This window comes from Homo sapiens, chromosome 19 (assembly GCF_000001405.40).
Source record: "Homo sapiens chromosome 19, GRCh38.p14 Primary Assembly".
Taxonomy (NCBI): domain Eukaryota; kingdom Metazoa; phylum Chordata; class Mammalia; order Primates; family Hominidae; genus Homo; species Homo sapiens.
The window spans coordinates 53498105-53522220 of record NC_000019.10 but is presented as its reverse complement, the minus strand read 5'-3'; the positions used below and the strand labels follow the sequence as shown (position 1 = coordinate 53522220).

The window sequence follows — 24116 nt, the reverse complement described above, 5'->3', positions numbered from 1 at the left end:
ACAGTTAAAATCAATCAGAAATAAGAGGGCACAGGCATGTGAGTTTTTCAGAGAAATGCTGGAAAACTCTAGGAACTGGGGTTCTGAAACATGGAGCTGCCCCTCTCACCACCTCCCCGCCTCCCATGTCAGGTACCTCTTTCTTCCCCAAAAGGAATTCTATTCTTGAGGTTACTTCCTCTTGTCGTCCAGGTAGTGTGCACGGAGAGCACTTCTGGCTCCAAAACTGCCATCTCGTGACTTGTGAAGCCTTCTTCTTGGTCATTTTCACAATAGCGTAGAGCCTCTCACGTCACTTTGGGACCACTGCTCCCTAGCAGGTACCACATGGCTGGAAGGCCAAGGCACAGGAAGCAACGGAGACACTAGAAAGACAGGTGACATGGTCGCACACACCTGTGCTCACTCAAAAGGCCATGCACCCAGGCCCGATCCCGACCAGTCACAGCCGCACACTCGCTGGCCCTTTCACACCCACAGACGCTCACACCAGAGGGACACTGCCTGTCCCTGTCAACCTGACAGAAGTGCAAAGGCACATTTCAGAGACACGGAGACCCGTCCTGGCCGTGCCACCTCTGCAGACCCCACCAGCATTGACCTCGCACAGAACGGAGGTGCAGAGACACAGCCCGGCTGCGTCACCCCTACAGATGCCCTTACAGCCCGGCGCTATGGCCCTCATAGACGTCTACACACACCTGTGTCACAGTTTATGGGGACAGAGCCCGGCCGCGTCAACCCCGCATGCATCACGGCTTAGGGGAACGGGGCTTGTTCGCATTACCCCACAGACGAAGACAATTATCTCAGTCACTGGGCCACGGCGGGGCCCCACCAGGCAGCCTCTGGCTTATTCACACACACACACACACACACACACACACACTCACACACACTCCCACTTCCCTGCTCGCCGCTCCCGAAGCCTCAGGCCGAAGCTTCTTCATTTTAGGGCCTCCGCGTCCCGAGTGGCTCCCTCACCGCCATTCCCCGCGGAACCCTGCCCTGGCTTCCTCCTGGGAGGCAAATAGCTCCCGGCTCGAGGCCTAACCACACCCAGCACATCAGGAGGTGAAACAAGGTCTCAGGCGCAGTTGGGATAAGATCCAGGAGAAACCATTTTTAAAAATCCCGCGAGCATGAAGCACGCCCCTCAGCCGGCCACCCGGCTCGCTCCTCATTGGACTGTGCCCCAAGGCCCTCTGGGAAATGTAATGCGAAACCAGAGAAGCTTCGACGCAGCTGGAAGGGCGCCCGTCAGTGTTTCCCAGCATGCAACTCTACACGGCGCAAATGGAGCCGTGACCCAGAGGCCTCTGGGAAATGTAGTCCATAACCCGGAAATCCACAGAGTTGGAAGCGGCTGTCAGGATTTCCCAGCATGCAACTCTACGCGACCCTAAGGGCGTCCTGCCTTGAGGGCTTCTGGGAAATGTAGCTCATAACCCGGGAATCGACGTATCTGGAAGGGCGCCCATCAGTGTTTCCCTGCAGGCAACTGCACACGGCCCTAATGGAGCCATGCCCCAGAGACCTCTGGGAAATGCTCACTACGCGGGAATCCTTAGCGCTGGAAGCGCGGCCGTCAGAATGCTTTTCGTCGGTGTCTCCTCCCACTGTTAGAGCAGCTGCACCCCCCATAGACTTCTGGGAAAGCGTATTTCAGACTGGCAGAATCTTCAAATGCTGGAAGCCCTGTCGGCCTTCTCCTGCCCTGAAACTTTGCTTGCTCCTAAGGCGCACCACAAAAAATTCCTGGGAAAAGTGGTTCAGGCTCTAGGGGCCTACAGTTATAATTGCTTACAACTTGCATTTGGGATCCGTCCATAGGGAAGGCGTGTCCCCGCGTCCTTCTGGGAAGGAAATGTAGTCTGAAACGACCAGAAATCACGCCTGTAATCTCAGCACTTTGGGAGGCCGAGGCGGGTATATCACCTGAGATCAGGAGTTCGAGACCCTCCTGCCCAACATGGTGAAACCCCATCGCTCTAAAAATGCAAAAATTAGCCAGGCGTGGTGGTGTGTGCCTGTAATCCCAGCTACTTGGGAGGCTGAGGGAAGAGAATCGCTTGAACCCAGGAGGCAGAGGTTGCAGTGAGCCGAGATCACACCACTGCACTCCAGCCTGGGCGATAAGAGTGAAACAATGTCTCAAAATAATAATAATAATAATAATAAGCCCGGAAAGCTTAAAAGCTGTGATTTGGGAAAAGTTCAAAAATTTCCCAGCATGCAACATGGCCCTCCTTAGAAAAGAGCTGTGCCTCCAGAGCGTTCTTGGAAATACAGCCCCGAGCTGGAAATGCCTCTAGAAAGTGTTAGGTAGGGTGTTTACATGTGAGATTTTGGGGACGTTTCAGCACTGCCCTTTCCCCCACCCCCCAGTAGATTGGGGAGCTCCAGGCATGTGTGTAGGGACCTTGAGTAGGTTCCACGGGAGTGACCTGGTCCTGACTGGGTCTGTGCCAAGGCTCTCTCTGTAAGGGCAGGACTTTGCGTTTCGTTCTCTGATGCTGTCCCAGACTTGGGAGCACTGCCTGGCTCTTCAGATGTCTCTGTGAGTGTTACCTTGGTATGGGCGGGAGAGGCCTGGGCTGTATGGCTTGCTGCCCGGCAGGATATTGACAAGATGTTCTTATGATCAGGCGGTTTGGCCCTTTTTCCGGTGGGATCTCATCAGGATGTTCCTTGGACCTTTGCCAAGAAAGATATGATAGGGATGGTTTTTGTAGTTGGGCCTTTGCCCAGTAGGACATGATGAGAATGTTTCTTTAATTGGGTCTTTGTTCGCCTTGTGGTCAGGTGGTTAGGCAGGATATTTCTCACTGCCTGAACCCCTGTGAAATGTTTCACTTTGACCAAGGTCTGCAAAAGAGCAGGGGGCTTCCGAAATGGTGCAATTTAGACAAACACTGGGGTGTGAGATGCTTTGCCCTAAAAAATATATGCTGTTGTTGGGAGAGAATCATTGGTGGGTGTGACTGGATTTGTGATTGTGTGGACTCATCAGGGAGCCTCCTGGAGCTCAGGTAAGGGAGGGCGCCTGTGAGGTTTTTGGCCTTCATTATGACATGGATGAGATTGTATGTTTCTATGAACGTGTGGGTAAGACTACTGTATAGAGTACCCTTGACATAAGTAACTCCATCTTAGAAAAAGACTCCATCTTGCATTCCACAGGGCACTTTGCCAACAGGGACAAGATGTTTTGCTTAATAAATAAATAATAAAGACTGCATCCAACCAGATAAGGATATAAACAAGCACATTCTTCCACCATCTGTCCTCCCCAGAGGACTCTGTGGCCATAAAAGGAGCAAGGCTTCAGTGGCTTGAAATAACCATCTTAACTGCAACCGTCCTGCTGTCATTTGTGATGAGCACTTGGCATCTGCTGCTGAAGCCTCAAAGACTTCTTGCAAGACCAATGGGCCTGCCCAGCCCTGACCAAGGGTTTTGTTACTCTCCTTGGACTGACTTGTTAACCCTTTTCTCCTATCTCTTTTCTCTTGATGTTAAACATTACTTTGTTTATTGTGAAATGTTTAATCTATAACATTTATATATATTGATTAAGTACACTACTATGTATGGTTTGCAATATTGACTGACTTGTGAAGTGGCTTGAGCCTGCGTGTCTATGGCTCTGACTACCAAGTGAAGGGGCAGTACCAAAGAGAATTGCCTTGTATTAGTCAGGGTTCTCCAGAGAGACAGAACTAATAGGATATATGTCTATAGGAAAGGAAGTTTATTAGGGAGAATTGGCTTAGACGATCACAAGGCCCAGTCCCATGATAGGCCATCTGCAAGCTGAGGAAAAAAGAAGCCAGTAGTGGCTCAGTTCAAGTCCAAAAGCCTCAGAAGCAAGGAAGCCAACTGTGCAGTCGTCAGCCTGTGGCCAGAGGCCACAGGGCCCCCGGCAAACCACCAGTGTAAGTCTAAGAGTCCAAAGACCAAAGAACCTGGAATCTGATGTCCAAGGGCAGGAGAAGCAGAAGGAAGCATCCAGCACGGGAGAAAGATGAAAGCCAGAAGACTCAGCAAGCAAAGGTATCCCACCTTCTTCTGCCTTCTGTGTTCTACCTGAGCTGGCAGCCAATTGCATGGTGTCCACCTACATCGAGGGTGGGTCTTCCTCTCTCCATCCACTGACTCAAACATCAGTCTCCTCTGGCAACACCCTCACAGATACACCCAGAAACAATCCTTTACCAGCTGCCTAGGCTTCCTTCAATCCAATCAAGTTGACACTTAATATTAACCATCACAAGCCTCTTTGGGAACTCCAGGCGGCTCATGGCTTTTGTGATTGAAATAGCATCAATCAAAGCCTGACACTGTGGAAAGATACAAACGTGTGTGGACCTGGTTATCTCTGGACCACTGGTGGTTTGCTGGGGGCTCTCGGGCCTTTGGCCACAGGCTGAAGGCTGCACTGTTGGCTTCCTTGCTTCTGAGGCTTCTGGACTTGGACTGAGCCACTACTGGCTTCTTTCTTCCTCAGCTTGCAGATGGGTTATCATGGGACTTTGCCTTGTGATCGTGTGAGCCAATTCTCCCTAATAAATCAGAGATAAACCAAATCTCAGCAGACTTGAACCTGCGTGGGGAGAGTAATGAAGACATAAACAGTCTCCTGGTCTGGGCTGAGTTGTCTGTTGATCTTGCAAAGAAGAATCTTTGATGTGGGTAGAAACTTTGGCAGCAGATGTCAAGTGCTTATCACAAATGACAGCAGGATGGTTGGCAGTTAAGATGGCCGTTTTGAGCTGCTGAAGCCCAGCTTCTTTTATGGCCAGAGTCCTGTGGGGAGGACTGATAGTGGAAGAATGTGCTTGTTTATGTCCTTATCTGCTTGGATGCAGTCCTTATTATTTATTTACTAAGCAAAACATCTTGTCCCTGTTGGCAAAGTGCCCCATGAAATGTAAGATGGAGTCTTTTTCTAAGATGGAGTTACTTATGTCAAGGGTGCTCCATACAACTACTAACTATACAACTACTATACAACTCTGTACATCAGGTGTTTTCATTTTGATGGTTGTGCTGTTGTGCGCGTTTTCTAGTGGTTTTACAGAGCTCTGTTGGGGGATTTGTCAAATGGCATTGCAAGTCATTACTGTCCATGATGATCTTAGCCTACTCTACCACGTGTGCCTGTGGAATTAGATCTCTGTGAGTGTGTACTTGTGAACATAAGCCCAGTCTCATCTGAAACAAAGTGAATAATGCTGTTTCTTTTGAGAACATCAAATTTGTTAAAATTTGGTATACAAATTCTCAATTTATCTGGCACTAAAGTAGACATTTCATATTGAATCAATATATTGTATTTTTATGGAGAAGTGTGTAAGTCAACACAACCTGTTTTTTAATTTTTAAATAAGAAAGTAGAATAAAAAAGATGTCACTTTAATTAATCCAAAATAAGCAACAAAAAAGCAGCAGCTACTTTGTCTCTTTCACAAGTTGTAAGGAGTTAGCTTCCATTTTCTTGTGCTGTTTAGGGGCCTGGATAACTATATTTAAAAAGCTCTGGACTACAGATGTAACTTTTCTCTTGGACATAGGTTTAGGGCCTAGAATCAGGAAGTCAGGGACCCTCCTGGGTGTTAGGTGAGGCATCCTGGATCTTTTCATTCTCTGAACAAGAAAGGTTGACTCAGAAAACAGAAGTGCTCTGTTTAAGAGTCTTCAGTTTATCCTTCAGAAACTACTTGCATTTTTTAAAACCATAGGCAATTAATACTTTTTTTTTTTTTTTTTGAGATGGAGTCTCGTTCTGTTGTCCAGGCCAGAGTGCAGTGGCCCATCTCGGCTCACTGCAACCTCTGCCTGCTGGGTTCAAATGATTCTCCTGCCTCAGCCTCCTGAGTAGCTGGGATTAAAGGCACGCACCCCATGCCCAGCTAATTTTTGTATTTTTAGTAGAGACAGCGTTTCACCATGTTAGCCAGGCTGGTCTCGAACTCCTGACCTCAGGCGATCCGCCCACCTCGGCCTCCCAAAGTGCTGGCGTTATGGGTGTGAGCCACCACGCCCGGCCCAATAAATACATATTTTAATGAGCAGTCTAAAATACAAAACTAGCCTGCCACATCTTAGTAAGGACCTCGTTTCTGAGGCCTCCCCAGAAATGAAGAAATGAATATCATGCAATATTTCTCTTTCTGTGTCTTCCTTATTTCTCTTGGCATAACATCTACCAGCTTTTTTCTTGTTGTCATAAATGGCAGAATTTCTGTGTTTTCATGGCTGAATAATATTTTAATGTGTATATATCACATTTTCTTTACCCATTTGTCCTTTGAAGGAAATTTAGGTTGTTTCCGTGTCTTGGCCATAGCAAATAATACTGTGGTGAACATGAAGATGGAGACAGAAAGGGTTTAAAAGGAGCTTCGAAAGAAGTCAGGGCAGCCAGGCACAGTGGCTCATGCCTGTAATCCCAGTACTTTGGGAGGCCGAGGAAGGCGGATCACCTGAGGTCGGGAGTTTGAGACCAGCCTGACCAACACAGAGAAACCCCGTCTCTACTAAAAATACAAAATTAGCCGGGCGTGGTGGCACATGCCTGTAATCCCAGCTACTCAGGAGGCTGAGGCAGGAGAATTGCTTGAACCCAGCAGGCGGAGGTTGCAATGAGCCGAGATCGCGCCATTGCACTCCAGCCTGGGCAACAAGAACGAAACTCCGTCTCAAAAACAAACAACCAACCAAACAAAGTCAGTGCTCCACAATGAACGAAGGATGGAGGGTGACAGAAATGCCCATGTTAAAATGACACAAATGCTGCTGTCTTACTGAAGTTTGGTACTTTCTGTGGGATAGATACTTTTCACTTTGTTCTGTGGCTTTGGTAAATTTCAGAAGTCTGAAATGATTGATTTTAGTGACTTTGCGAGTGTTTTCATCATTTTGCAGAGGAGACTTGGTTTCTTGTGGTTTGCATTCATCAATGTTAGAAGCTGATCTCTCTATTCAATCTTGCAGTTTTAAGTAATGCATTGAACAGTCACATAACAGAACGCGGAGCAGGAGAACTAAATTTCTAGTGTAATCAGAATGGCAGGCACTAAATGAATTATTTTACAATAAGCCTGTGTCCTTTTTATTAACTGTTCAGTGAAGAAGTTTGGAGTCTATAAACTTGTAATAAATGTGGCCTGTAAGAACTACAAATACTGGAAAGCTTCTCTGAGGATGTAATTTCTAATTTGATGAAGAAAACATTCTCTTTAATTAACTTGGCAAGGAGAAGGCTTTGGCGGGGCACCATGGCTCCCGCCTGTAATCCAGCACTTTGGGAGGCCGAAGCGGGTGAATCAGGAGGTCAGGAGATCAAGACCATCCTGGCTAACATGGTGAAACCCCATCTCTACTAAAAATACAAAAAATTAGCCGGGCGTGGTGGCGGGCTTCTGTAGTCCCAGCTACTCGGGAGGCTGAGGCAGGAGGATGGCGTGAACCCGGGAGGCGGAGCTTGCAGCGAGCCGAGATCGCGCCACTGCACTCCAGCCTGGGCGACAGTGTGAAACTCTGTCTCAAAAAAAAAAAAAAAAGGAGAAGGCTTCAATAAAAAGAAAAGCAACTATGCCTGGGGCGGAGCTGGAGTGGAAATAAGATGGCAGACATTGGACGTCATTGAAGGCCTAGTGATGTGGTTTTAGTCCATGTGCCAAGAGCAAAAAGTTATTTAAAATATATTAGTTAGGGCTAGGCGCGGTGGCTCACGCCTGTAATCCCAGTACTTCGGGAGGCCAAGGCGGGTGGATCACCTGAGGTCAGGAGTTTGAGACCAGCCTGACCGATATGGTGAAACCCCGTCTCTACTAAAAATACAAAAAAATTTGCCGGGTGTGGTGGCATGTGTCTGTAATCCCAGCAACTCGGGAGGCTGAGGCATGAGAATCACTTGAACCTGGGAGGCAGAGGTTATAGTGAGCTGAGATCGTGCCACTGCACTCCAGCCTGGGCAACAGAGCAGGACTCCGTCTCAAAAAAAAACAGAGAAAAAATATATTAGTTATTGGGGAATATCAGCATATATAAATGTGTTTTCAGGCAAAAACCACAATAACCTGGATACAGACACATGGAAATATATTAGGAATTTTTTCAGGTGTTCAAGAGGGAGCTGTGAAATATAACTTAGTGATATTGGGGCATGATAATGGGAGAAAATATGTTAAACCATATATACCCTATGCGTGATAAGGAGTTTATATCCAAAATATATAAGGAACACCCACAACTCAAAAGCAAATATGATAATAGTAATAACCCTATTAAAGATGAGCAAAGGGGCTGGGCGTGGTGGCTCACACCTGTAATCCCAGCACTTTGGAAGGCCAAGCATAGTGGATCACCTGAGGTCAGGAGTTTGAGACCAGCCTGGCCAACATGGTGAAACCTCATCTCTACTAAAGTACAAAAATTAGCCAGGTGTGGCGGCTAATCACGCCTCCCCGGAAGGCGGAGGTTGCAGTGAGCCGAGATCGTGCCATCGCACTCCAGCCTGGGCAACAGAGTGAGAATCCATCTCAAAAACAACAACAACAACGAAAAAAAGTAAAGGGCCTGAATAGACTAATCATCTGGAAAATGCCAATCAAAATCACAGTGAGGTATCACTTCACATGTCTTAGGATTGCTATTATTAAAAAGACAAAAGGTAACAAGTGGTGAGGATGCGGAGGAAAAAAAATACCCCTGTACGTTGTTGTTGGGACAGTCAATTGGTAGAGCAATTATATTTTTAAAAATTCTAAAAAACATGGAGTTGCCTTACAAGTTATAATTTAATTTTACTCAAAACAATATGAGAATTAAAATTCTTTTTAATTTTAAAAATCAAAATGACCAAACAATCCAGCAATCCTACCTCTGAGTATGCGTCTGAAGGAAATGGGTATTTCCAAGAGCTATCTGCACTCCCACGCTTGCTGCAGTGTTATTCGCATCAGCCAAGGCACGTCAGCCGTATGAGGGTCCTTCATGATGCACGGATAAACACACTGTGAGACAGACAGACAGATTTCTCAGCGGCTGAGAGGGTTTTAGAGATCCTGACACCCAGAGAGGAACTGGGGACAGAAGAGGATGCAGCTTTCCATTACCAAAGCTGAGGAGGTCCAGAAGGAAGAGGAGAGGCCAGTGGGGCTCACCTGCAGGAGCCTGCTGAGACTCCGGAGCATGGTCCGTGGGAACGATTCTGATGCTTCTCAACCATGTGCTTCCTTAGCAGAGAACTGTCTAGATTAGCGGTTCCCAGCGTTTTTGGCACCAGGGACTGGTTTGGTGGAAGGCAGTTTTTCCACAGACGGGGGGATGGTTTCAGGATTAAACTGTTCCACCTGAGATCATCAGGCATTAGTTTGATCTCATAAAGAGCATGCAACCCAGATCCTTCGCATGCACAGTTCACAGTAGGGTTGGCACTCCTCTGAGATGCAGTGGCGCTGCTGATCTCACAGGAGGCAGAGCTCAGGTGGTCATGCGCCCTCACCCACTGCTCACCTCCTGATGTGCGGTCCAGTTCCTAACAGGCCACCCATGGGGACCGGTCCGCAGCCCAGGGGTGGGGATCCCTGGTCTAGATTAGTGCAGCTTGACTTTGGAAAAGAAACAAAAACCCTCTGATGTGGGCACAGCAGCCACATCACGCAGACCCATGATGCCCAACTTAAGAGCTCCCCGCGGGCCCTCACTGGGTAAGGGAAGTAAGCAGCCCAGATCCTGCTACCCAGGAGACCACCTGCCACCACTTCAGAAAAGCCAGGGGATCTCCCTGCACTCTAGGTCTGAGGCCATTTGTGAAGACGTAGCTCAGGTGCTTGCAGATTCAGCAGGCACATTCCCCGCTGACCCCAGAGCAGCTTTCTGGCCTCACCCAGCTCCGGGGCCTCTGTGCACCATGGTGCAGACCTTCCAGGCCTCGGCCACGCAGGCATCTCTGTCTTCCCTGCTGAGGGTGGCTTCTCCCAGTCCCACTGGCGCGTCCCTGGGGCCCATCCCTGGATGAAGGAGAAGCTCAGCGCTCCTCCCAGGATGGAGAGAGGCCCACCTCTTCCCCGGACCGGAGATAACAGACCCTGTTGGTGGATCAGATTGGGCTTGAGATGAGGTGCCCAGCCCTGTCCAGCAGAGGGTGCTGCTCTGAGAGTCAGAAGAAAGACCTGCCCCTTCTCAGATTCCTCCAGATGACCAGCAGGGATGACTTTAGACACACGGTGTTAATACATGCTAGAACCTGCGGAAGGAAAATAGGAAAATAACTTGAACGATATACTCAGAATGGTGAACTCTGTGGTTCATTGAGGATGAAGTTCACTATTCAGTTTCGTGTGAGATATTTGCTGTCTTTTGGATGTCTCCTGAGAGTCATGCATTTCTGTAGAATCACAGCAAATATTAGGGTGTAATCATCCATATGTGTTTGTATATTATAAAGTATAGCAAAAATAAATATATATATTTATATCCTTCTACTTTAATTGAGAAAAGGCTGTGTCTCTTCACTCTCTCACCTGCAGTCCATGAGGGACTCAGACCCACAAACCTGAGACGCATCTCTATTGAGAAAGGTTATCTTTTTACGCTTGATGACATCATGGCAAAACCACCATGTTATTGTTTGATTTTTCTTTCTTTTATATCTAAACTGAGTCAAGATGTATTAAATGCTTATTGATTATATTTATTTAGTTTATTTAGTTTTTGGCTCATATGATTTACTTGGATTTAAATTTTCTTCTATTTTATAGTTTTAATTTACCCTGTTTTACTATAGGATATTAAATCTAACATACATATTGTCACTTGTTTTACATATTGTTATATGTTTTCCTATTTTCATTTTACACTGCGATAATGCAATCTTTTACCATATAAATGTATATATTTTTATGTAGGGAATATATAAGTAATTGGGTATTCTTTTGTCTTTTCCTTATAATTTCCATATTGTATAGTATGAGATAAATATTAATATTTTCTAAGTATTTTATACTTTAGATAATTACATATTGATCCATAGGGAGGTTGTTTTGCTGCATGCGTGGGTTAGATAATGTTTTCTCTTCACTTTTGCTTCATCTCCACCCTGATTTCCCTCAACCCAACAGCTCTTGTTGTGGATATGGAATAGTAGTCATTCCAGTGAATGGGGAAAATTGAATGGTTGATGTTAGGAATCAGTTTGAACCCATGACATGGCCTTAAATTACACGCAGCAGGTATTTACATATATATGAGATAATAATTTACAAGTTAGATTTGGGGTGGGGATGCAATTACAAAATAACAATAAAATAAAATATACTTAGGAATAATTTTAACAAATATGTTAAATGTATATAAGAATTAAATAGAAAATTTCTGAAATATACAAATGTACACATAAGAAGTTACAGCATGGACTTGGGTAAAAAAAATCAATATTATAAAAATCAATTGCTCATAAGCTAATTTATAAATTTAATTTGGTTCAAATATAGATACATTCAGTTGGGAGTTATGGATGTTATTGCAAGAATCTCATAGGTGAAAACACAAATAAGAATAATCAAGAAAACTCTGAAAAAGAACGAAATGAGGGTAGCTAGTCTTGTAAGACATGTTGGTTGATGGGCAGACTGATAGATGGGTGGAGCTCACAACTCAGAAATAGACTGCAGTGCATAAGACACATTACAAAGTGACAAAATCGATTCTTTACAACACATAGTAAGATAAAGGTCTGATTTAAAATAAAGCTACATGGCAAAAAAAAAAAAAAAAAAGTTCAAGTTTCGATCAGGTTAATTCTGGCAGGTTGTGCTGGGCCTTCTGAGATTTCTGGGGATGGACAGCTCCCACTCCTACCCCGAGTTCCCTAATCTGCCATTTTTACTGAAGTCACTCCCCACCATCACTCGAACTGAAAGTGGGTAAAATGTTTCCTCTGAATCCTTTTTCAAGAAACTCAGAAGAAAGAAAGCCTATCTATACATGGTCCTCAAGTGACTATTGTAAGTGTTTCTCTGCCAAGAAAGAGCAAAGACTGTCACGCCCACAGAAGCAGGATGTTCCATCACATAGGACACTTCTCCATGAGCTCTAACATGGTTTACTCTGTGTCCCCACCCAAATCTCATGTCTAATTGTAATCCCCACGTGCCAGGGGCAGGCCTGGTGGCAGGTGATTGTATCATGGGGGCGGATTTCCCCCTTGCTGTTCTGCTGATAGTGCGTTCTCACGAGATCTGATGGCTTAGAAGTGTGTGCTTTTCTTCACTCTCTCTGTCTCTCCTTTTCACAATGGTAAGACATACCTTGCTTCCCCTTCTGCCATGACTGTAAGTTTCCTGAGGCCTCCCCATCCATGTGGAACTGTGATTCAGTTAAGTCTCTTTTCTGTATAAATTACCCGCTCAGGTAGTTCTTTGTAGCTAGGGGAAAACAGACTAATAGAAGCCCAGAGTTTCATCTTCCACATGTGATCAGAGCTTTCCCAGGCTCTGCATTGCTCTGCAGATCAGCCCTACCACAGAGGCTTAGCTGTGAGAATCTGACCTCGGAAGTGGCTGCTGAACCTGTGTCCTGCTACTCTGCTCTCCTGCAGGGATCCTGCCTGCTCTAAATAATCTCTTCCTGGGCTCTAGGATCTTTCCTGGATCCATCTACTTCCTGTGTATACACTTGTAGTATCAGACACAAGCTTTGATTCTCAGGATTGGCAGGATTGGACTCCTGCCATCTCCAACCACCTTCTCTACACGTATGGTGTTGCAATCTGTTCTGAGAGACCCCACCTCAGGGTATCTCTGCACCGACATGATGAAATTAGTACAGTGGGAAGAGGAACAGAAAAGAATCAGGCTATGTTGGAGGCTGGGTCTGGGGTTCCATTACTTGATTTGTTTCTCTGGTTTATCCAAATAGGAATAAACATACATTCATCTCTACGTGGAAGAAAAACAGGAGGAGGAGACGCAGCTCACAGAGGAAGGAGGGCAGATGGGTACCGAAAGGGCACACTCCTCACTAGAATCCCAGAGGGAGGGAACAGTCCCAAAGGATTCTTCTGGGTGACGTGGAGACCAAACGCACAGGAACCCCCAGCACCTGCCCTGTCATCTGGCTTAACTGAAACTAACACAGTCCTGGCCCAACATCATTTCCAGGGAGACTCTTTCTGGGACTCACGGAGGTGATTATGAGGGAAAAAAGGTGATGAATGTCCCTCCATTCTTCAGTGCTCCTAGGACCTAAGTTGACTGCTCTCCAGGTTTCAGGTTGTCACTCTCCCTCTCCCTCCACAGAATCAGTCAGTCCCATTCTGGTACCTATAATTTCATCTTTATTCTCATGATCCCCTACTGTCTCCAAGACATTTTGTCCCTAAGAGCAAGGTGAAACAGGGATAAAGATTTTTGTATAAAACTTAATTGTAACTAACTTTGAGTCCCATAACTCGCTTTTAGCTGGGCTGCCACTCATCGTGGGCAAAGTAGACTGGCCTGTTCAGAGAAAGAATGACATATTGTGCCTGGAATGGTCAGAGAGAGAAATCTCATATTTTGGAAATAGATTCATAACCCCCAGTGATTTCATCCTGATCCTGGAGGCTGTCAAGAAGAGATCATTCCTGGAGGCTGTCAAGAAGAGATCACGTCAAGAAGAGACATCCAAAAGGATGTCTCCTTCTGGAGACAGCCACATTCAATCAACAAATTCCCTAAACAACATTGATGGATCAAGAGGGGAAACAAGGAAGTAAAATCAGACAGTTGGCCCATTTTTAGTAGATTTAGTGATTAAAGACTCAGTATGTCAGAGTGAAAATGGTCCCAAAAGTCTAAAAGGTGACATGAATGAGTTTCAAGGGTCACGTGGTGCGGCTGGAGTCAGCTGGCGTGACATGATTGAAACCTCCAGAAGTGGGTCAAAAGTCCAATGCACTCATTCTGCCAGGAATGGTCAGGGGCCTCCCCAACCGCCAGATAAACAGATCAACTTTCACCAAGAACCACAAGCCCGGCCTGCAGTGACAAGCTCTGCATGAGACAGATTCAGGCTCTGTCCAGAGCTTGATTTTGGTCAGGTGCTTCAGAAAACAGTCCTTTACCATGGACTCCTAAATCACGGATGCAACTGTTAGATCAGCAGCTGAGATTGTTTCCAGTTTGCAGCCTCAAAGAGGGTATGCTTCCTCAGACAGTCTCTAGTTTGAATGGGGATGAACAAACAGCTAGAATGTGGGCAGTGGCCAAAACCCTGAGTTTTGATGATTTTTTTTGTAACCTCCATGTTCAAGCGATTCTCCCACCTCAGTCTCCGAAGTAGCTGGGATCACAGGTGCCTGCCACTACGTCCAGCTAATTTTTTGTATTTTTAGTACAGATGGCATTTCCCTATGTTGGCCAGGCTGGTCTTGAACTCCTGGCCTGAAGACATCCGCCTACCTCAGCCTCCCAAAAGGCTGGAATTACAGGCTGGAGCCCCCACACCTGGCCCCAAGTCTGACCGTTGAGCGGAACAAACGCCCCTGCTGCAGGTTCCACGTGGCTGGCACTGAGCCCGAACAGCCTCTGCTGTGGCCACCGTGAGGAATCTACTTCCCTGACCCATCAGTGAACCTGGACCAGGCATTTAGGGGTTACATGGTAAATTTGGGACCCCATAATGCCATAGCTTTGCTTCAGACCGTGGAGAAGGGCATAAAATTTTCACCGATGATAGATCTTGATTTTTCCTTTAGAGCTGAGATGTTGCTGGGCCGGTCCATTTTCCTCCCAGAATACACCATTTCTGTGTCATAAGCAAGGCTTTCGGGGGGTTTTGTAGAGTTTGGACTAACCCATCTCAAAATTGGAATATCAAGGTGGGGAGCCCCAAGCTGTCTGTGGGACAGGATTTGGTGATGACGAGAGCTCAGCAGCAAAGTAACAGATAATGTTCAAAATCAGCGTGACTATTATTGTGTCAGGATTGCGTCAGGGCAACTAGGACCCCACAGGCACCTCTAGGTGGAGGCTGCCTCCCTTTTCCAGAGGCTGCAGATGACAAAATCATTTTGTCATCTACAACTTTTGTCGACCACTGAAATCATTGAGCAATGTAAGTCTGCTCACATACTTTCAATAAGCCTGCCCCGGAAAACAGAAGGCTGCATTTCTTTGGGTTCTGTCAGTTACCTCTGCTGGCAGGGCGGGGATCACACCCCACACAGGAAGATTGAGAGCAACTCCTCTCACCTGCCGAGACACACAACATCATCTGCATAGTGAGGATTTGGGACATCAGAGGCTAGAGGCACTCATAGGAATCCTAATGACTCGCCCCCAACGGGTGGCAAATGGCAGGAGAGTTAGTCTCACACGTCCCTACCTGCACCCAACCCAGACTGGAATAATTTCCTCTGGTACATAGGGACACGAAGCCCAAAAACACACAACACATCAATTCCTACTGTCTATTCTGATGCAGAAACCGAACAGGACATTGAATTAGCACAAAAGACCCTCTTTCCGCCCTCACTGGGAACCCTGCCTAAACCCTGTCTGTTGAGTTTGTTTCTTGTTTTTGTGTTTTGTATTTTTTCTCCGTGTAATCACAGACTAATAAGTATAATACACTATACAATGGCATGGGTAAGGGACTGCGAAGGGCCAGTAGACCAGAGGAAGCTAGGATAGGAGTGTGTGTGAGAGAGAGAGAGAGACAGAGAGAGAGAGAGAGAGAGACAGACAGAGAGAGAGAGAGAGAGAGAGAGAGAGAGAGAGAGACAGAGAGAGAGAGAGAGAGAGAGAGAGAGAGAGGAGAGAGAGAGTGTGTATGTGGTAGGGGCCAGGACAATGGGGGAGGTGTGATTCTTTTCTTTTTTTTTTTTTTTTTTGAGACGGAGTCTCGCTCTGTCGCCCAGGCTGGAGTGCGGTGGCGCGATCTCCGCTCACTGCAAGCTCCGCCTCCCGGGTTCACGCCATTCTCCTGCCTCAGCCTCCCGAGTAGCTGGGATTACAGGCGCCCGCCACCACGCCCGGCTAATTTTTTGTATTTTTAGTAGAGACAGGGTTTCCCCATGTTGGGCAGGATGGTCTCGATCTCCTGACCTCGTGATCCACCCGCCTCGGCCTCCCAAAGTGCTGGGATTACAGGCACTAGCCACTGCACCCAGCCGGTGTGATTCTTTTTTAGCTTTTCAGACCATGGTCTGCGCTGCACTTTTTTTCTTTTCTTTTTCTTTTTTTGAGATGGAGTCTTGCTCTGTCGCCAGGCCAGAGTGCAGAGGCACGATCTCGGCTAGTGCGACCTCCGCCTCCCATGTTTAAGTGATTCTCCTGCCCCAGCCACCCGAGTAGCTGGGACTACAGGTGCCCACCACCACGCCCAGCTAATTTTTGTATTTTTAATAGAGAGGGGGTTTCACCATGTTGGCCAGGATGGTCTCGATCTCTTGACCTCATGATCCACCCACCTTGGCCTTCCAAAGCGCTGGGATTACAGGCGTGAGCCACCACGCCCGGCCTCTGCTGCATTCTTAGCATTGCACCATCCAGCATTTGGTGACTATTCAGGGCCAGAAGCTTGTCTCTTTCTGCCTGTTTGCAGCCACACTTCACCCCACCATCCTTAGCACCTTTACCCACCCCTGCGTCTACTGACCCTTCTTGCTGGAATCCACGTACGTTGGTGACTTAAATCCTTGCATGCAACAGGACTAAAAGTGTTTCAGTCCAGGTATGGTGGCTCACGTCTGTAATCCCAGCATTTTGGGAGGCACAAGCGGGCAGATCACTTGAGCCCAGGAGCTCGAGACCAGCCTGGGAAACATGGCACGAGGCTGGAGCCCAGGGCGGGGAGGTTGCAGTGAGCCAAGATGGCACCATTGCACTCCAACCTGGGGGACAGAGTGAGATTCCATCTAAAAACAAAAACAAAAACACAACAAAATGAAAAAACGGAGTTTCAATGTCTTCCTCCCAAAAACCTCTAAGCTGATTCCACTCTTTCCACAGACCTGCTGTAGTGCGGTGTGGGTGGAGGGAGGGATCAGAAGGTACAGAAAAAAAAGACTGCTCCCTCCTGGCAAGCACAGCACTAACAAGCCTCGTGTGCTTACAGTTTATGACAGCCTGTTGGCCGCTGTCAGCTCAACCCCATGAACTCAGCATCAGCTTCGGGGACTCTTCGTCCTTTCCTGCTCCTGCCAGGAGGAGAATGAGCAACAAATAAATCACATTCGGACAGTTCATTTCAATCCTCCCTCTCACACAACAGCCCCATTCCAGGGTTAGAGAGTGGAGGAATTTTACTCTCATTTCACTCCAGTTTGGGTGAGAGAATTTGCTGCTTGTTCCAGAAAGCCGTTTTCTGTCCGCTAACCACACCGGTGAAGAACCTTTCTACCTTCCTCTTACACAAAGTCACATCTGTCCCAGCATCACCAAACCTATCAGAAATTGCAAAAGGTTTTAAATTTTAACCTTACTTGCAAGCCAACAAGTAAGATTGTCAGTTTATGGATGTTGACTGAGGGCATGAGATTTCTGGATCTGAGAAAATATATATTTTACTATTCATCACGAAAATGACAGCAAGAACTTCGCATCTGCGCACATTCCCCCCGTCTACTCCGAGGGACACAGAGATGAGGCACGTGTGTTTGTGCACCGTCACTTTCTTATAACGTTTACGTTTCAGTGTCTTCCTCCCGAAAACCTCTAAGCTGATTCCACTTTTTCCACAGAGCTGCTCCAGGGCGGTGTGGGTGGAGGGGGGATCAGGAGGTACAGAATAAAACAGTGGCCCCTGCTGGCAAGCACAGCACTAACAAGCCTCGTTTCATAACCGTGTTTATGGGTCTCTAGAGATCAATGAAGAAACATAAACATTGTACAAACATGTCCAATTCACATATTTCTGATAAGATTAGGGGGTTTTGTGTTACTTATCTAAGCAAAGCAAAGCTTGGATACACAGGAGTCCCCACTCATGAGAAGAAAGGGGCTGACAGCTGGGAAACCTGCACTGATCATTGCAGAGATGTTCACCACCAGCTGACTGGGATTATTCAAAAGAGCCAAACAAACTTGAAAGGTGAAGAGAGAGTGTAAAAGGACACAAACGTGCTCACCAGGAGGATGGTTTTGGTAGCTCCGGACTCAGGGGAGGATGTGGGGGAGACGCTGGTCCTATGAATGTGCTGGACCCGCCGCTTGTGCCTGTGCAGGATGCAAACGATGGAGCTGCTGCCCCAGAGCATGAGCCCCAGGCAGATCACATCAGGGAAGGACAGCAGTGCCGCGTCAGCGACTCTCTGGTGTCCTCGTGATCAGCAGCAGAACAGTATCCCAGATCTTTTGTCTTTGTGGTATTTTTGTTGCTCCACTTGCCGGTCACGTGCATGAGAACAATGATATTGACCAGGGAGGAGCCAGCTGAGGAACACACAGGAGCCAGCGTGCTTGGGGGCGTTCCCTTTAAGCTCTGCCCACCTGAGCTCCTGGGGCTGATGGTGATGGCCTGGGAGACACTCAGGAGGCAGGTGCTGCCAATGGACACTCCCCTGACAACTCTGTGGACACAAAAAAGAAATTTACATCCAGAATCACTCCGGAAATGCCTAAACCCAAAAGCTGCCATTGTCTGTGGGACTCCTCTAGGGAGGAGGAATACGGTGTTGGCTACAATTAGGTGTCTGATCATCAAATCTGTGGACCTTAACCTGCACCCAGTGATGTAAAAGGACAGATAATGGTAAATAAGAGAGAAATCCCCAGGATTCCAAGTACAGTCTGCGATAAGAAGATCGTTCCCATGGCCACATCCCAGCAGCCATTCTGTCAGTTCCCACAGGCTGCTACTTATCTTCAGAGACACAGGATCCTGCAGGGAACGTGATGCATGAGCGACATTTAAAAGGCAGCTGGTACTTGGTGGGGGCTGAGGTAGGAGGATCCCTTGAGCCCAGGAGATTGAGGCTGCAGCGAGCCGAGATCCCGCCACTGCACACCAGGCTGGATGACAAAGTGAGACCCTGTCTCAAAACATAAAAAATAAAAATAAAAAATAAAGTCAGCTGAAATGCAATAGAAATACTTAATAAAGTTACTTTCTAGTATGAAGAGTTTGCCATATTTGGATGTGTCCCATTTTAAGTGTATTTGCAATGAATTGCTCTTTGCTATGAAGAACAGACATGTATTCACCTCCATATTCTTCATAATCTATGAGCCAGGTACCACCATTATAAAGACAAAGAGGACTCAAGCACAGAGAGGTGACATGATTTGTGTAAATTCACACCGTGTTTGGAGTAGAATAGGGACTGATCTTGTCTGGGCTGATTTCAGAGTGCATTAACCACCATGCTCTACTGTCAAAGCCAGTTAGCGGGGTTCTTCCAATAATGAACATACATATTTAATTTTTTTTTTTTTTTTTTTTTTTTTTGAGGCGGAGTCTCGCTGTAGCCCAGGCTGGAGTGCAGTGGCGCGATCTCGGCTCACTGCAAGCTCTGCCTCCCGGGTTCACGCCATTCTCCTGCCTCAGCCTCCCGCGTAGCTGGGACTACAGGCGACCGCCACCTCGCCCGGCTAATTTTTTGTATTTTTAGTAGAGACGGGGTTTCACCGTGTTATCCAGGATGGTCTCGATCTCCTGACCTCGTGATCCGCCCGCCTCGGCCTCCCAAAGTGCTGGGATTACAGACGTGAGCCACCGCGCCCGGCCACATATTTAATTTCTATTTTATACCTTGTCTCTATATTTTACGCAGGTGACATTTAATTTTATAATTTTGGTTTTGACCAGTTTCCATTGATGTATAAAATATTAGCCCATAGACTGATAGCAATTATGAATAAATCTTTAAAGACCTTGATAAAATGTAGATACACTGATTGGAGTATAAAATTATAGGAATCTGCCTCACGACTAAATTAGATTTAAAAAGATTGACCCCATATCAGGATAGCCACAGAGACTTACTTCTTTTTACACCAGGAAAGAAAGTACGATGGCACCTACCACAGGAATTAATGGACAATCTGATATCATGTCCTAACTACGTAATGTGACATACTAAAGGATCATAAAATAGAGTCGGGTAGAAATTATCATTCTTTTCAGTTCATATACTCATAAATTAATGAGTATATAAATTAACTAAAATAGTAAGTGTTGAGATTTGTCAAAGGTGTTAATATAGAATATATATGGAAAATTAAATCTGTAAGCCATGGGATCTTGTGCATTTGATAAATTGAAATGGTAGATTTGGAGATTAAGTGAGATTTCCTTCATTTTTAAAAGACTTTTAAATTCAGGGGTACATGTGCAGGTTGGTTACATAGGTAAACGTGTGTCATGGGAGTTTGTTGTATAGATCATTTAATCACCCATGTATTAATTCTAGTACCCATTAGTCATATTCCCTGATCCTCTCCCTTCTTTCACCCTGCACCCTCCAATTGGTCCTAGTGTGTGTTGTTCCCCTCTATGCATCTCTCTTCTCATCATTTACCTCCCACTTACAAATGAGAACGTGGCATTTGGGTTTGTGTTCCTGTGTTACTTTGCTAAGGAAAATGGCCTCCAGCTCCATCCGTGTCCCTGCAAAGGACATGATCTCGTTCTTTTTTGTGGCTGCATAGTATTCCATGGTGTATAGGTACCACATTTTCTTTACCCAGTCCACCAGTGATGGGCATTTTGGTTGACTTCATGTTTGCTATTGTGAATAGTGCTGCAACGAACATACACATGCATGTGTCTTTATAATAGAACAATTTATATTCCTTTAGGTATATATCCAGTAATGGGATTGCTGGGTCAAATGGTATATCTGTCTTTAGGTCTATTTTCTGGAAGACAGAGTGGTGAGTTCCAAAATTTCTAATGTGAACTAATGGCTTCATGTTCTTCCTTTTACTTTTTTTTTTTTATCTCTCAAAATCCTTCTTAGGTACTTTGCCTGATTCCATTTATCTGCATATAACTTAAAAGATCAAAGGTCTAAATATTATAAGGAAATCTACTTTGGGTGGAAAGACTTCTCAGGGATTCAGAGAATCCACTGAGACATACCTGGTGTGCGTTCAGTCCCTGATGTACCAGAGCTCAGTATTTCCTGCTTCCTTCTTGTGAGACCCTCTCTGCCTCCAGGGATCAAGAAGAAAGAATCTCCCCAGACACTCCAAAATCCCTTTGGAGATGCTATCTAGGAATTAGTAAACGTTTTCTTGGTAATTACAACAGGGAAATGAAGTTTTTAAAAAAGAATAGCTTCCCAGGACTGCACTGTCACAGCTGTGACAGGTAAAATGATCATTGCGGTTGTGACAGCAGGTGAGGTCACAGAATCACAAGCCCATATCTAGCAGCCTGGCTGCTGCCCTCTCATATAATGCTGACTGGCATGACCAGCACACTGAGCTCACCATCCAGACAGAGGGGTGGGTCAGGTGAGTATTTTCTATTTCAGTTTGACAGGTAGAGTCCGCAGTAGAAGGAGGTATATAAGAAGTCCAGATATGGCCGGGTGTGGTGGCAGACGCCTGTAATGCTAGCACTTTGGGAGGCCTAGGCAGGCGGATCACCTGAGCTCAGGAGTTTGAGACCAGCCTGGCCAAGATGCTGAAATCCCGTCTCTACTAAAAATACAAAACTAGTTGGGCGTGGTGGCATGCGACTGTATTCCCAGCTACTTGGAAGGCTGAGACAGGAGAATTGCTTGAACCCGGGAGGCAGAGGTTGCAGTGAGCCAAGATCGCAACACTGCTGCCCAGCCTGGGCTACAGAGCAAGACTTGGTCTCAGAAAATAAATAAATAAATACATAAATACATAAATAAATGGACTTGTGAGCACAACTGAATACCAAATTATATAGAAATTTCATAGAAACATTGTTTAACAATATTTAAATACATATTACTATATAATTATATTGATGTTTAGTTATATAACTATGTTAAATACAGTATCACCAATATAGTTTAGTAATATATAGTATACCAGTTTCTCTTAACAGAAATATCCCAAATGATAATAATTTTCTAGCTAGATTGACATATTATTTTCTCAGTGCCAAAAAGTTTACTGGTCCTATGATGTTGTAGCCAGGTCTCCAACTCCTGGTGCTACTCCTGTGTTTATGTTATGTTGCCAAAAGTTTGGCTGGTAATTTACTGATTAATGAAGGCTAACAGTCATTTGAATTTTTTTTTTTTTTTTTTGAGACTGAGTTTCGCTCAATTGACCAGGCTGGAGTGTAGTGGCGTGATCTCGGCTCACTGCATCCTCCGCCTCTCAGGTTCAAGCGTTCCTCGTACCTCAGCCTCCTCAGTAGCTGGGATATAGGCACCCACCACCATGCCCAGCTTCATTTGACTTTGAAAGAGAAACCTGTGTGTAATCCCAGCATTTTGGGAGGCCGAGGCAGGCGGATCACTTGAGGTCAGGAGCTCAAGACCAGCCTGGCCGACATGGTGAAACCCCATCTCTACTAAAAATACAAAAATTAGCCAGGCATGGTGGGGAGTGCCTGTAATCCCAGCTACTCTGGAGGCTGAGGCACGAGAATCGCTCGAACCTGGAGGTGGATGTAGCAGTGAGCCGAGATCCTGCCACAGCACTCTAGCCTGGTCGACAGAGCAAGACAGGCTCAAAAAAAAAAAAAAAAAAAAAGAAGAAGAAAAGAAAAATAAAAGAAAGTTATCCTGGATTATCTGGGTGGGTCCTATGTGTCCTTAAAGAAGAAATATATGTCAGAGAGATGCAATAGTGGAGGAAGTTAGGACTCAGGAGCACGAGAGTGATTTCACATGCTGTATATTGAATATATGGGAACCAGGAGAAAGAAATGAATTCTGACAACAATCTGAATGAGCTTAGAAGTGAATTCTGCCCCCACAGTCTCTAGAATAGAACCCATGGCTTTGACTTTGATTTTGGCCTTGTGAGACCAGACAGAGTACCCAGAAAAACCTGACACATTTCTCATCTATGAACTGTGAGAAAATAAATGAGTGCTGTAGTAAACTGCTGGCTAAACCGTGGCAATTCATAAATAGAAAATACACATCTGAACAAATGTAACGATAAAACATTTAAACACTAAAATAAAAAGCAACCATTTATATCATAGAATATCTAATATCAATTTCATAGAATATCTAAAATTGCATCTGAAATCACATACAAAATATATATGTATATACACACCATTCAGATATTCATTATTCAATATTTAAATATATATTTGCAGAGTTACATTTCTAATTCAATAGCTTTCACCAATCAGTGATGGGGTTTTTTGTTTTTTTGTTTTTTTGTTTTTTAAGATGGAGTTTCACTCTTGTTGCCCAGCTGGAGTGCAATGGCGCAAGCTCAGCTCACCGCAACCTCCGCCTCCCAGGTTCGAGCGATTCTCCCGCCTCAGCCTCACTAATAGCTGGGATTACAAGCATGCGCAACCACGCCCAGCTGATATTGTATTTTTAGTAGAGATGGGGTCTCACCATGTTGGTCAGGCTGGTCTCAAACTCCCAACTTCAGGTGGTCTGCCTTCCTCGATCTTCCAAAGTGATGGGATTACAGGCGTGAGCCACTGCGCCCGGCCAATCAGTGATGAAGGGGTGGCCTGCCCCTCCACACCTGTGGGTGTTTCTTGTCAGGTGGGACGAGAGACTGAGAAAATAAATAAGAGACGGAGACAAAGTATAGAGAAAGAACAGTGGGCCCAGTGGACCGGCGCTCAGCATATGGAGCACCCGCCAGCACTGGTCTCTGAGTTCCCTCAGTATTGATCATTATCTCTACCATCTGGGAGAGGGGATGTGGCAGGACAATAGGGTAATAGTGGGGAGAAGGTCAGCAGGAAAACATGTGAGCAAAGGTCTCTGTGTCATAAATAAGTTTAAGGAAAGGTGCTGTGCCTTCATGTGTACGCACACAAACATCTCGGTGTAATAGAGAGCAGCATTGCTGCCAGCATGTCTCACCTCCAGCCCTAAGGCGGTTTTCTCCTATCTCAGTAAATATAATATACAATTGGGTTTTACACCAAGACAGTCTATTCCCAGGAGGAGCAGGAGACAGATGCCTTCCTCTTATCTCAACTGC

The 24116-nt window shown here is 45.9% G+C and overlaps 1 protein-coding gene and 1 pseudogene across 15 annotated transcripts in view, besides 5 other annotated features; both read right to left on the bottom strand.

The window, feature by feature from the left end:
• ZNF331 (zinc finger protein 331) overlaps positions 1–18986 on the bottom strand; it is a 77035-nt gene extending 58049 nt beyond the window's left edge. For 7 of the 15 annotated variants that reach the window (XM_047439054.1, XM_047439050.1, XM_011527076.4 and 4 more), the window contains exon 1: positions 137–1207. The gene's annotated coding sequence lies outside the window, so the exon portion shown is untranslated. Of the gene's footprint in view, positions 1–136; positions 1208–2571; positions 2698–8890; positions 9024–9173; positions 10259–18124 lie in introns of those variants that run through there. The other 8 variants (XM_047439053.1, XM_047439051.1, XM_047439055.1 and 5 more) reach the window with 6 other exon arrangements.
• Positions 175–948: an enhancer, noted in NCBI's record as "H3K27ac-H3K4me1 hESC enhancer chr19:54024527-54025300 (GRCh37/hg19 assembly coordinates)". NCBI's record gives its function as "activates a minimal SCP1, AML or CMV promoter by ChIP-STARR-seq in naive H9 embryonic stem cells {active_cell/tissue: H9 hESC(naive)}" and the evidence as "EXISTENCE:reporter gene assay evidence [ECO:0000049][PMID:30033119]".
• Positions 949–1722: an enhancer, noted in NCBI's record as "NANOG-H3K27ac-H3K4me1 hESC enhancer chr19:54023753-54024526 (GRCh37/hg19 assembly coordinates)". NCBI's record gives its function as "activates a minimal SCP1, AML or CMV promoter by ChIP-STARR-seq in naive H9 embryonic stem cells {active_cell/tissue: H9 hESC(naive)}" and the evidence as "EXISTENCE:reporter gene assay evidence [ECO:0000049][PMID:30033119]".
• Positions 1259–1458: an enhancer, noted in NCBI's record as "active region_15068". NCBI's record gives its function as "activates an Ori minimal core promoter by ATAC-STARR-seq in GM12878 lymphoblastoid cells {active_cell/tissue: GM12878}" and the evidence as "EXISTENCE:reporter gene assay evidence [ECO:0000049][PMID:35858748]".
• Positions 1723–2497: an enhancer, noted in NCBI's record as "H3K27ac hESC enhancer chr19:54022978-54023752 (GRCh37/hg19 assembly coordinates)". NCBI's record gives its function as "activates a minimal SCP1, AML or CMV promoter by ChIP-STARR-seq in naive H9 embryonic stem cells {active_cell/tissue: H9 hESC(naive)}" and the evidence as "EXISTENCE:reporter gene assay evidence [ECO:0000049][PMID:30033119]".
• Positions 17053–17278: a silencer, noted in NCBI's record as "fragment chr19:54008197-54008422 (GRCh37/hg19 assembly coordinates)". NCBI's record gives its function as "represses an EF-1alpha promoter that drives an FKBP-Casp9 reporter gene in an ReSE screen in phorbol 12-myristate 13-acetate-treated (for megakaryocytic differentiation) K562 erythroleukemia cells {active_cell/tissue: K562(+PMA)}" and the evidence as "EXISTENCE:reporter gene assay evidence [ECO:0000049][PMID:32094911]".
• On the bottom strand, positions 17938–18829 carry VN1R103P (vomeronasal 1 receptor 103 pseudogene; annotated as a pseudogene).
• Positions 18987–24116: the final 5130 nt, after the last annotated feature.